Source organism: Homo sapiens, chromosome 1, assembly GCF_000001405.40.
Source record: "Homo sapiens chromosome 1, GRCh38.p14 Primary Assembly".
NCBI classification, from domain to species: domain Eukaryota; kingdom Metazoa; phylum Chordata; class Mammalia; order Primates; family Hominidae; genus Homo; species Homo sapiens.
The window spans coordinates 116,018,162-116,030,999 of NC_000001.11; the positions used below are offsets into that span (position 1 = coordinate 116,018,162).

Consider the following 12,838-nt stretch of genomic DNA (forward strand, 5'->3'; position numbering starts at 1 on the left):
TTCCCTGTTCCCCCCTCCTTCTGGCGCCTGGTAACCACCCATTCTATTTTCTGCCTCTATGAAGTTGACTATTCCAGGTACCTCATATAAATAGAATCATGCTATATTTGTGTTTCTGTGTCTGGCTTATTTCATACAGTATAATGTCTTCAGAGTTTAGGTTGTAGCATGAATCAGAATTTTTTTCCTTTTTATTTTATTTTATTTTATTTTTTATTTTTGAGACGGAGTCTCGCTCTGTCTCCCAGGCTGGAGTGCAGTGGCGCGATCTCAGCTCAGTGCAAGCTCCGCCTCCCGGGTTCACACCATTCTCCTGCCTCAGCCTCCCAAGTAGCTGGGACTACAGGCGTCCACCACCACGCCCGGCTAATTTTTTGTATTTTTCAGTAGATACAGGGTTTCACCATGTTAGCCAGGATGGTCTTGATCTCCTAACCTTGTGATCTGCCCCCCTCAGCCTCTTCCTTTTTATTTTTTTAATTTTATTGACATAATTATATTTATGGGCTACATGGTGATGTTTTAATACATACAATGTATAGTGATCAAATAAGGGTAATTAGCATTTCTGTCATCTCAAATATTTATCATTTGTATTGGGAACATTTGATATCCTCCTTCTAGCTATTTGAAGCTGTATATTATTGTTAGCTATAGTCATCCTACAGTGATATGGATACTAGAACTTATTCTTCCTATCTAGCTGTAATTTTGTATCCTTTAACAAATCTCTGGCTATTCTCTCATTCCTTCTTAAAGCTGAGTAATATTCCACTGTATGTGCATACAACATTTTGTTTATTCCTTCATCCATCGATAGACACAGGTTGTTTCCACCTTTAGCTATTGCAAATACAGGTGCTATGAACATGGGTGTACAAATATCTTTTCGTGTCCCTGCTTTTAGTTCTTTTGGGTATATGCCTGGAAATGGAATTGCCAGATCATATGGTAATTCTGTGTTTAATCTTTTTGAGGGAAATACTCAAGAGATTTTAAACCCATAAGCCAATTGGACAAAAAGTTCATGTATTTATTGCTTCATATATGTCATATAGTGTATTAGGCATCAGAGAATGGAAATAAATGGGACAAGGCTCCTCTCAAGAAACACAGAGCCTTAGGATGTGGGACATAGTCAATAGATGCATAAGTAATTAGCTATTATACATTGTGTTCAATTCTGTAATAAGATATGTATAGAGTACTGTGGGAGTGCATCATAATAATAGTGATTTCTAGTGTTTCTGAAGATAAAATCTGATTGGACGTTGTCTGAGATAGACAAATTCTACTGAATTCTGGTTAATAGTGGATCATGCAGTATAGAAATTCTGGTGTACAAGTTTTTGTTGCACATTTGGTTTTTTAATAGCTAACTGAATCCTACATGTCTCTCTTTTGTTTTATCTTCCTCTAGTGGTTTTTAATTGCCAACAGATCCTACAAAGTCAGTGCAGCAAGCTCTTTTTTCTTCAGTGGTGTATTTGTTGGAGTTATCTCTTTTGGTCAGCTTTCAGATCGCTTCGGAAGGAAAAAAGTCTATCTCACAGGTAATCTATTAGAGTATTCATAAACTGGATGAGAGGGCTTATTTCTCTAAGATTCTTAGGGAAATAATAAGGGGACTATTTCCTTAAGGTTCTCCGGGAATTGGCATATGGACACAGAACTGATCTTTATTATCCTGGCAAGAGGCCAAACTGCAGCTTGAGTGCTTCTGGCCAGGCACCTTTAAGTTACTAGCCCACCTAGTTAAAGTCAGATATTTGTGTTCTAAACCGTTCATAGGTGATGGTGCTTTCTGCAACCCCCAAATTTTAGTTTATGCCATGTTGCTAAGGAGAGAAGTAAAAGACTGTGACAGTGTACTAGGCCCATTTCCTTATATCTCTCTGTGTTGATTCATTTCAAATGAGCTCTACAGGACTTGGCATAGTGCTCTTGACAAGCTGAGTATGAGCAAGGGTTTTTCATTTTCCAGCATTATTGTGAATAATTGAAAACTGTCTGTGATTGACAGAAATCATGTAATAAAGTAAACCTTATGGTTTTTTAAAAAAATAGTTTCCAAGAGAAGCTGTTAAAAAAAAAAAAAAACACACAGCTGGCTGGGCGCGGTGGCTCACGCCTGTAATCCCAGCACTTTGGGAGGCCGAGGTGGGTGGATCACGAGGTCAGGAGATTGAGACCATCCTGGCTAACACGGTGAAACCCCGTCTCTACTAAAAAATACAAAAAAAATTTAACCAGGCATGGTGGCGGGCGCCTGTAGTCCCAGCTACCCGGGAGGCTGAGGCAGGAGATTGGTGTGAACCCGGGAGGCGGAGCTTGCAGCGAGCCGAGATTGTGCCACTGCACTCCAGCCTGGGTGACAGAGCGAGACTCCATCTCAAAAAAAAAACAAAAAAACAAAAAAAAACAAAAAGAAACCCACAAAAACAGCTCAGAAAATTTAAGTTTACAAACATTTATTTTATAAGCTAATGAATATAATTTATTACTTTCATCAAATGCTATTTTGCCTCTGGATTATTGAATATTGTTTTCTCTTTCTAGGTTTTGCTCTTGACATCTTATTTGCAATTGCAAATGGATTTTCCCCCTCATATGAGTTCTTTGCAGTAACTCGCTTCCTGGTGGGCATGATGAATGGAGGGATGTCGCTGGTGGCCTTTGTCTTGCTTAATGAATGTGTGGGCACCGCCTACTGGGCACTTGCAGGTACTACTTAAATCATGCAGCTCTGGACTGGGTGAGCAGCTCCAGAAAATTTTATAGGGACCCAGTTTAATCCTAGAGTCTGGAAATGCATTTGGACTTGAGGTACTTTATCCAACTATTAGATTTGCTTTTCTGATTTGGTTCTGTATGACCCTGAACAAGTCATTTTATTAATATTCCTCTGTAGACAGTCTTCCTGGGGGCCTGCCTCACATGTGAGCTTGCCATCCGCCTCATGGACTGCCTACAGATTACTGTGGAGACTATTGATTTCCTCGGAAGGACACTAGCAAATTTTTACAACTTAAACTGAAAAATAGTGCAGACATAGGAAATATTAGAAACTCCTTTCTTACAGCCTTTTTATTCTAGTTTATTAAATTTTTGTTTCACAGCCCTTTTTTGTTTTTACTGCTCTCAAGTCAACATAGTACTATTGTAGCATTTCTTTATTGATATTTAATTTCCAAAATTGAGACTGTATTCTGAATTATTTTTGACTATCCCATTATTTTCTCAAGAACTACATAGATAGTAAAATAAATGATTTTAAAAGGTTATTTAATTTCAAATATTGTCATAAGAGAAGTAACTGTGTCTAAGACTTTATAGACTTAGGTTTGCAATGATAACTTTTTGTTTCTTTTACTTTCATTCACTTGACAATGGTTGAATGTTTCCCATGGATGTTCTTATATGGATATGGGAAACAGGTTGACCGTGTGACTGATGGAAATGTGTCTTTGGGAGGATCTATATGAGAAGGCCATTTCTTAGAACCTGATACACAGTGCCAGCCATCTCTTATGTACCAGCTACCATGCTAGGCATTTGACATCCATCTGTAATATTCCCGGAGCTTACAAGTTAAGGATTCCTACCTTCATTTTATGGATGATGAAATTGAGCCTTTGAGAGATGAGGTGACATGCCTGTTTTCAGCAGCTGATAACTGACAGGGCCAGAACTGCAACCTGGGTCTTGATGACACCCAGGTCATCTTCCACTGTTCCCCAAAGACTCTCCTCTTGGAACTTCAGCATGTCACCTCATGTGAGTGCTGGCCTGGTCAACCTGTTATTTCTAACTGGTGTTGTTTTTGAAGTGTATGGGCTATTGTATCGAGCTGGAAGACACAAGGCTAAATAAAGTAGACTTGTGGTCTGTTTGCATCTCCACTAAACAGCTGTCGAGTGGAAGGATCCATAGGGTTGGACCAGTTAGAACTAGGCTGGAGAGGAAGAGACACCAGCTCCATCCTCTCCAGACAGGCTTCCTGCTGGTCTCAAACAGTGTTGCCTTAGGATTCACCTTGTCTGTAGCAACTTCGAAAGCCTTTTTGGAACTGGTCCTAAGCTGGGATGAGTGAAAAAGCTTCCTCTGAGTCTTCAATTTGCATTGAGACTTTAGGGTCATTTTTCTGAATAGTATGGCCAATTTCCTGGGACTTTCTAAGAAGTTGGTAATGATGGTGATCATGCCTGCTCCCTGTATCCAGGGAAGGGAAAAAGGCACTCTCTCCTTTGATTTCAGTTTTCCTGAGGTCCAAAATTGTGCTCATGTAGAGCACCATGAATACATATTTTTCTTGTACCTCTTAACATTTCTCCATTATAGTATTTATATTTGATTTTAGTCGTTGCATGAAGATGCTGTTTTATAAAAAACGTATACCACTCCCACCCTGCCAGATTATCTAAGTATTTTTCCTGTCATATTGCATGTGTTAGGGGAAAGGACCAACCCTGGTCTCTTGCTCTCTTGCTAGTTGCCTAAAGCCAGTGAAAAGAGTCCCCTTGGAGTGTTTTGACCTCTCATTCTTATCCTTGATGCTGGGTTAAGATGAGACTATCAAAATTTCTGTAGCAAAGTGAAAAGGGAGAGAGGAAGAAAAACTGTAACAGTGAAACCACATGGTTGCCAAATTCAATGTGAAATTGAGAGCATGTATGAGAGTTCCCTGAAGACCAGTACACAGCCCTGCACCCAGGACAAAGTAAGGCTCTGATAGCACCTGGAACTTTTTTTGAGTAGCTTCCTTCCCTCTCTCATGAACCGAGGTCTTCCCCAGGGTTTTGTCCTTGGTCTTTCTTTTCAAGCTGATTTCTTTCCAGAATGATTTTATCTACACCTGTGGCTTCAAATATGCTTATGAATTGCAAGAAGTCAGAGAAAACCCTAAATGTTCAGCAATAGGGGATTTGCTGGAAATAGCCTGATTATTTGGCAATGAAAATTAGTTTGAAAAATTATGCTTATTACAAAATAATATTTGCAATATGTAAAAAACAATATGTAAACATATACCAAAAAACACAAGTACGAACTGCAAGCATCCATTTTTGACCAGTTTGCATTGTAGTACTTAACAAAAAGGATTTCTGGCTAATTGACTGAAAATTATTAAGAAGTGAAAAACAAAAAATACTGAAGCTGTGAAAAATTCCATATTAATATATTTATTATTTGTTTTCTTATATTAATGTCTTCATATAACAATTCATGTTCATTGTAGAAAATAATTAAGAAATATATGCACACGTCATCAAACTAAAGAATACATGTAGTCCTATTCCCCTAGAGACGACCATGGTTAACATATTGCTATGTATGCTTCCAGAGCTTTTCCTTTGCATGTCTATTCCACAGCATTCATTTATTAAACGGATTCTGCCATGTACCAGACACTGCTTTTTTTAGATAAAAAGGTGGAAAAGACAGGGATGATTTGGGGGAGGTTCTTGCTCTCATGGAACTGATGCTTTACTTAGGAAAAGTGGAACAAATTGATAATTTCTGAAAATTAGAAGTACAATGAAGAAAATGAAGCAGGGTAATGGGCTAGATAGTAATTGTGGGGAGTAACTATATTAAATAGGATAGTTAGAGAAAACCTCGATGTGGGTGTTTGATCTAAGACATGAATGATTAGGAAGACCCAGGCCTGTGAAATTCTGGGAGAAGTATATTCTAGCTAGATGGAATGGCAAAGACCCAGGCCTTGAAGCAGGAAGGAACTTCTTTGAAAAGTTTTGAAAACGTTCTCATGACTACAGGGTAGAGAGTTAAGGAAAGAGTGAAGTAACTGAGAGGGACCAGATGATACAGGGCCTGTGATGGGCCAAATGAGGAATTTGTTTTTTACTTGAAGTACAGTGGGAAGCCAGTGGGGCATATTAAATACAGGAGTGATAGGGTCTCATATACAGAAAGATTACTCTGGTAGGTACAGAAATTGAGGGATCATTTAGTAGGCTGCTATAGTTGGCCACATGAAACCAGTGGTGGGTTAGACAGGATGGAAGCAGTGGAGAAGAAAGAGGATGTGTCTGAGCTGGATTTTGGTGGGAAAGTGACTTGCTAAAGGACCAGTAGAGATGGGGAGAGCAAAATAACTCAAGGAGACTTCATGGTCTGTATTTGAAGATGGATTACTGGTACCGTTTACAAAAATGAAGTCATAACTATATACTCTTTTCTAACCTGCTGAAGTTTAGCTTTTACTAGTGCAAACTGAGCAGGAATAGCGAAGTTGAAATTAATTAAAAATAAGCAGAGAATAAATTTTAAAATAGGCATAGTACTTAAAGGCATATACATGGTTATAAAGCCACCTATGATACTCCAGAAAAGATGACTTGAAATGTTTATTTTTTATTAATTTTTTAAACCAAGTAACATAGAGCCTTATTATATTCATCTCTACGCCTTCTCCCTGTTGTCATTCTAATGAGCTCATATATAAGGGAAAATCATTTGGTTAGGATAACTAGACCATGAAGAACCAGGCGTTGAAGATGCCCAGAACCAGAAGTCAGATGCTTCTCATTTCAGCTCCCCATCCTCTCTGAGAAGCTTCCTCTGCATAGTCACAGACAGGGCCCAGCAGCTCCAAGTCTAGTATTTAAAGTCTTGGGTAAGGCCTCTGATCGGCTCAGCTGATTGGGGTCACCCTGCAGTTAGAGGAACTATACTTGGCAGGCCCCATTTGAACCACAGAGATGAAGTCAGGGAAGTCGGTTCTCCAACAGTGGGTGGGACATTCTTGGAATTAGGAAGGAGAACCAGGTAGCAAATATTCTGTGATAGATTCAACAGGAGGCTTTCAGATGGCTTTTTTTTTTGAGGTTAATAAATAGAAGGGCTAAATCCAGATTACATTAGGACAATATCGAACATTTGTATAACATGAGGTAGGCACTGTTATTTCTGTTTCACCAATAAGAAAACTGAGGCTCGGGGATATTTAGTGATTTGCCTAAGGTCAGAGTAGTATGTAACAGAACTAGGATCTGAACTTGGTTCCTCTGAAACCATCCCTCCTCTGGGCTTTCTTGGTTTTGCCTACATTGTTGTCAAGGGATACTGAGTGCTCAGGACTATTCTGAGCAATGATAGACAAGAAGTCTTATTCTTGGAAGCCAGGTGCTGTTTGATCTACAGCAGTGAACCAGTAGTAGCTATTGACTGTCTTAAATTTCCAGGAAACTCACACTGTCCTCATCCCACTACTCATTGGACCACATATTCTGAACATGCTGTCACATCAGCTTTCCTTTCTAGCTCTCCCTTTCCTCACTAGGTCAAACAGTATACAAGCCATCACTTATTTGTTATAAAGTAATAAGCAATGGATAGGAATCAAAGAAAACACATGTGTTACAAGATTATTATTTTTGTAACAAGATCAACAAAGTTTTGTCACTGTGGAATGCCCACAGAAATTGCCTTTCCATAGAGGGGAGATAGAAGAGAGGAATGGTACAGAACCTGGGCACAAGTCCTGGCCCTGCTACTTACAGCTCTGTGTCCTTAGGCAGCTTCATTTAACCGCTCTGAGCTATTTTCCACTTCAGTATATGGTTGATAATGGTACTTACTTCATAGGACAATGTATGTGAAACCATTATGCTTAATAAATAATAGCTATTACTACCACTAATAGCAGTAGTGGCACTTATAGAAAGTGTGTCAGAGGTATAGAATTTGCAAGAATATTGGGCAAGCCTGTGGGTTTAATACCCATCTCAATATTTATTTCAAAAAGCGTAAGGTTCTTTACAATTCCATGGTTGATATTTTTCCATCATTGTGCTGACAAAAATCCATGCTTAAGGGAGCTTATTTTCTACTTGGGAAAGACAGGAAACAAATAAATACAAAATGTCATGTATCCTATAGTAATACATTAAGTAGAGAAGGCAGTAGGGAGAATTGGGAGAGTGAGTTGTGATTTAAGAAACTTCGGCTGGGCAAGGTGGCTCACGCCTGTAATCCCAGCACTTTGGGAGGCTGAGGCAGGTGGGTCACAAGGTCAGGAGTTAAAGGCTAGCCTGGCCAAGATGGCGAAACCCCATCTCTAATAAAAATACAAAAAAAAAAAATTAGCCAGGCATGGTGGCGGGCGCCTGTAATCCCAGCTACTTGGGAGGCTGAGGCAGAGAATTGCTTGAACCCGGGAGCCTGGGAGGTGGAGGTTGTAATGAGCCAAGATCTTGCCACTGCACTCCAGCCTGGGCGACAGAGCGAGATTCTGTCTCAAAAAAAAAAGGGAAGGAAGGAAAGAAAAGAAAAGAAAGAAACTTCAAGGGCAGCCTGTGTGATAAAGATTAAGTTTCTGGTATTGCAATAACCTCATGACCTGAAAAGCGTATTACCCATATGGCAAAAATATTTCCAAGCCTCAGCCAGAGGTTCAGGCAAATGTCAGTACAACAGGCAATGCAGAAAGCATTTAGACAAATTCTTAAAATTTATATATCCCCATATAGTTTGTATTTTTTGTCTATCTTCCCTTTATTTCCACTAATTTTCTGGCCTCTATGATACTTTCATTCTCTGATGTTCAACTTAGTGTAGATTTTTTTTTCTTTTCTGGTGTGCCTCTTATAGTTGCCAGCATAGGGCTGACATCTCACCAGGAAGAAATTGGCTCTGTAACTTGGGGTTGGAAATGGTGCTGCAGATGGTGCTTTCTCCAGTGACAGTTCTCTTTTCCCTGAATTAGGATCGATTGGCGGCCTGTTCTTTGCAGTTGGCATTGCCCAATATGCCCTGTTAGGATACTTCATCCGCTCCTGGAGGACCCTAGCCATTCTGGTTAACCTGCAGGGAACGGTGGTCTTTCTCTTATCTTTGTAAGTAGTTTTTCCTCTTAGAGTTTTAATTTAAAAAGCCAAAGCAATGTCTTAAGAGGATGTGGGTCAATGAGCAGCATTATTCCCTTTCAGGAGCTTGCCTGCACTGACTTTGGTGAAGAACTAAATTCTGCAAGTGCTCCAATTCTTGGCAGCTCCTGGGAAGAGAGATGCTTAATTAATTCAGAATGCAGGTATCCCTTGTTTAAAGTAACCTCTCAATACACTGCATTGTAACCTTCACATTGTTGGCATAGGCAACCAATTGCTTTTTTAACCTAATACCTCAACCTTAAAGGTCTTCAGACTGGATCACATTATGTGCTAGGTGTGTGACTGAGGTATGATTTTGTAGAACAGTGTATTCATATTGGATATGTAGTGACAACTGTTCATCCTACAGATTAGTGTCATTTCAGGGCCTCTAAACATTGACTCTGGAAGAGTCTTAGATATAGGAGAAATCCTTAGGGTGCACGGCCTCATAGCAGTGGCAGGATGATTCCCTGGTCAGGGAAGGACTCTATAAATGACTGCCCAAGGGTGTCATACCATGGCCCTCTAAGACACATAGATGTTACAAGGCAGGCCACCATTTCCCCAGAAGTTTTTTTTTTTTTGAGACGGAGTTTCGCCCTTGTTGCCCAGGCTGGAGTGCAATGGTGTGATCTCGGCTCACCGCAACCTCTGCCTCCTGGGTTCAAGTGATTCTCCTGCCTCAGCCTCCCAAGTAGCTGGGATCACAGGCATGCGCCACCACGCCCGACTGATTTTGTATTTTTAGTAGAGACAGGGTTTCTCCATGTTGGTCAGGCTGGTCTCGAACTTCTGACCTCAGGTGATCTGCCCACCTCAGCCTCCCAAAGTGCTGGGATTACAGGCGTGAGCCACCGCGCCTGGCAGAATTTTTTAAGTGGTATATGAAAGGCTTTTCTTCCCTGAGATATCAGATCTCTGATGGTAATCATCAAAATCTTTGACATAAACAAAATTTTCAGCCAGTATTTCCTGCCTTCATCTATGCCATAAAGTGAAGGAGACCTGTAGTAGTGTTTTAATTCTGACAGCTCTTTAATTTATTTACTCTTTATCCGGGGTCTAAATTGAGATTTGGTGGGGACTAAACTGAAATTTTTCATACATTTTTGAAAGCAAGAGAATGTTAAGTGCAAAAATGAATAGAGTAGAAGTGGCCTATATTTTAAAAATAAAATTTATTAAATGTATTTTTAGTTATATGAATTTGAGTGAGATAATTTTATTAGAAGAGGAAACTAATATGATTTTATTAACTTGTATATTGTCAATTTTTGAAAGTAATAAATGGGTGCCTACTATAGTACTTAGAATTAATAAACATTTATGTAAATATTGATGAATAAATAAATTTTCTTTTAAAATGTTTCGTAAATTTCCTACTTCTCCATCTTATCTGGCTTTCATCTCCCCGTTAATAGTATAATAGTAGCACCACTTCACTGGATGATCTGAGCTGTTCTGCTTTTTTTTTTTTTTTTTTTTTTTTTAAAATATATAGTCTGAACTAGTTACTGTTTAGTGCTAGGTGGAAACATCTCCTCACTGGGAGGTGAGTTCAGGTCGTGAAAAATAGAAAGCAGAGAGAAAAGAACTCATGAGATTTAAATATTTACTTATTCCACTAAGCCTGGAATGTAAGGCTTCCCACAGTCAGCCTCCATTTATCTTTCCTAATTTCCCATCCTATGTTCAGGCACACTGCACTACTTGTTCCTTATGCTTTTCTGCTCCATGCTGCTACTCAGTGCTGTGTCTGCTTTTTCAACAATCTTCTGCCCAGATCTTCTTATTTGATAAGTACACCACTGTCCTGATTTTCTCAAATGCCGTCCACCCCATCTTTTCCTGATCATAGCTTCAGCTACAAGTCATTGTCTTTCTTTTTTGAATTCCACGGCATTCACCCATACCCTTTGAGTGGCCCTTATGTTTCTGCCTCATAATGGAGCCATGTTCTCTCTTTCTAAACTGAGAGCTCTCCAACAGTAGCAGGCTCTTTGCTCCATGATAACATTTTCCCCAGTACCAAAGCCAGGGGTTTCCACACAGTAGATCCTTGGACATTGCACAAATGTTGGCACAAAAACATTTGGAATCACCTTTAGAATTTGTAATCAGCAACATAAGAAGCCACATTATATACCTTATTTGTTTACCAGAAACATTTTTACCTAGCTTAAAAATTCCTTATTTTCACAATACTTCAATTTCAGTAGATTTACTTTTTTTCTGAAAACCAGGGTCCCCTTAATTTACAAAGATTTGCCACCTTTAATGATATTCATGGAGCGGTTTTGAGTTGGGCAACATTGTTAAATTAGCATTTTAGCTTTCAAAGGAGCCCACGGCACAGATGACCCTGCTGCTATGTAGAGGACGGCATGTTCAAAGGCCTGCTCTTTCTTTTAAAAACGTGTCTTACTGTTTTGTACGTATAATCTGCGTGTGTTGGAACTCTGTTTCCAAATCTGTCCACTGGCAACTAGGTGACCCTCTTTAGAAGCAAGCTTATTGGCCTCTCAAAATGCAAAGAAATATAAGACCGTAAGTTTTCATGATCAAGATAAACCCTTTGCCAGGTAGAAATAGTTTTATTAACTCAGAGCCGAATTTCTAAAGCCTTCGTGTCTCTCAAATACCAGCTTTAAAATGATTTATAAAGTTTTAAAAGTAATTTTTATTGCTTATAAACAATTTTGAAAACACAGAGAGGCTAAGGGTAGGAGAAAATGACATATAACCCAAAGATAATGACTGTGAATATTTTGGCGTATTTTCTGTTGTTTCTTTTTTATTCCTCCCAATCCTCCCCAAAATAATTTTTATTATCATATATTTTCTCTCAATATTTATCACAGTAGTCCTCTTTCATTTAGACATAATCAAGTGGTTTTACGTAATAGCTCCTATATGCCCCTATGGATAGGGCCAATAAATCCTACTCATAACCTGCAGACCTAACTTCAACAGAACAATGTTTTACTTGATTATTTATTTGTTTGTCCGTAATAATAATCAAATGGCAATGAAGAAGTAAATGGAAGGATTTTTCAGGATGTTATAGATGGCCTTTGTTCCTGCTTTTGCTGACAGTCAAATATTGTGCGTGAATATTCCTTTCCTCAGTAGCAAAGCTCCTGGGAAAACTCCTGCCTTTTGGTTTCCAGCATCTTTCCTTTCAGCACCATTACATTACTCTGTACAAAATTGAAATGCTCAATAAATGGCTGTTGACAGACTGGCTGTCCATTAAGTTTCCAAATCCTGTAGTGTTTGTTCCTAATTCACTATCCTTATTAGAAGGCACAGTGAATTCTATAAAGCACCGTAAATAGCCAGTTTTATTCATCTAAGTTTCATTTTAGGCAGATAATGTCAAATTAGATTTAAAAAAAAAACAACCTTGATTTGTGTCTTGTAAACAAGGCTTCCATATTCCTGCCTTGGTTTTGTCTTTGGAAAGTCCTCTGAAAGTGTAGGTAAAATGGGGAAGAGGCAAAAAGATACATAATATTTAAGTTTTGAAACTCTTTGAATATATCAATGGCAATATAATTATCCAACACTTTGTAGTTACATTAGAAAATAACTGTTGTTTTGTAACTAGAAGTTGGTCAGGAAATAACTTCTATTCTTTAAGGTCTTGGGGGATCAGGAAATATCCTCAGGACATATTAAAGCCAGTGTGTCAGGTGATTTGAGTATTTTGAAGCAGTAAACACTCAAAAGTAGCTTTGGTAAACTTGGTTTCATCTTTATGTGTAGTCTTAAGATAATCTCTACCTCCTACATGTCACTATGTTAAAAATATTTCAGTTTAAATTTTTTTTTCCTGATGAGATAATAAAGATTTCTATCTTGTCAGGCTTTTTTAGAACTTAAAAAAACCCATTGTCTCTACAGTATTTTCAAACAACACTTGGCTAGGATTTAGAGCC

The 12,838-nt window shown here is 38.8% G+C and overlaps 1 protein-coding gene across 25 annotated transcripts in view; it reads left to right on the forward strand.

The window, feature by feature from the left end:
- SLC22A15 (solute carrier family 22 member 15) overlaps positions 1-12,838 on the forward strand; it is a 93,542-nt gene that overhangs the window by 41,649 nt on the left and 39,055 nt on the right. For 21 of the 25 annotated variants that reach the window (XR_002957027.2, XR_002957032.2, XR_007061934.1 and 18 more), the window contains 3 exons: positions 1,421-1,553; positions 2,560-2,724; positions 8,732-8,861. Coding sequence is in view for 17 of the 25 variants with exons in the window: in NM_018420.3 (NP_060890.2) it covers positions 1,421-1,553; positions 2,560-2,724; positions 8,732-8,861 (428 nt within the window). In the remaining 8 variants the exon portion in view is untranslated. Of the gene's footprint in view, positions 1-1,420; positions 1,554-2,559; positions 2,725-8,731; positions 8,862-8,954; positions 9,056-12,838 lie in introns of those variants that run through there. The other 4 variants (XR_007061937.1, XR_007061936.1, XM_047424418.1 and 1 more) reach the window with 3 other exon arrangements.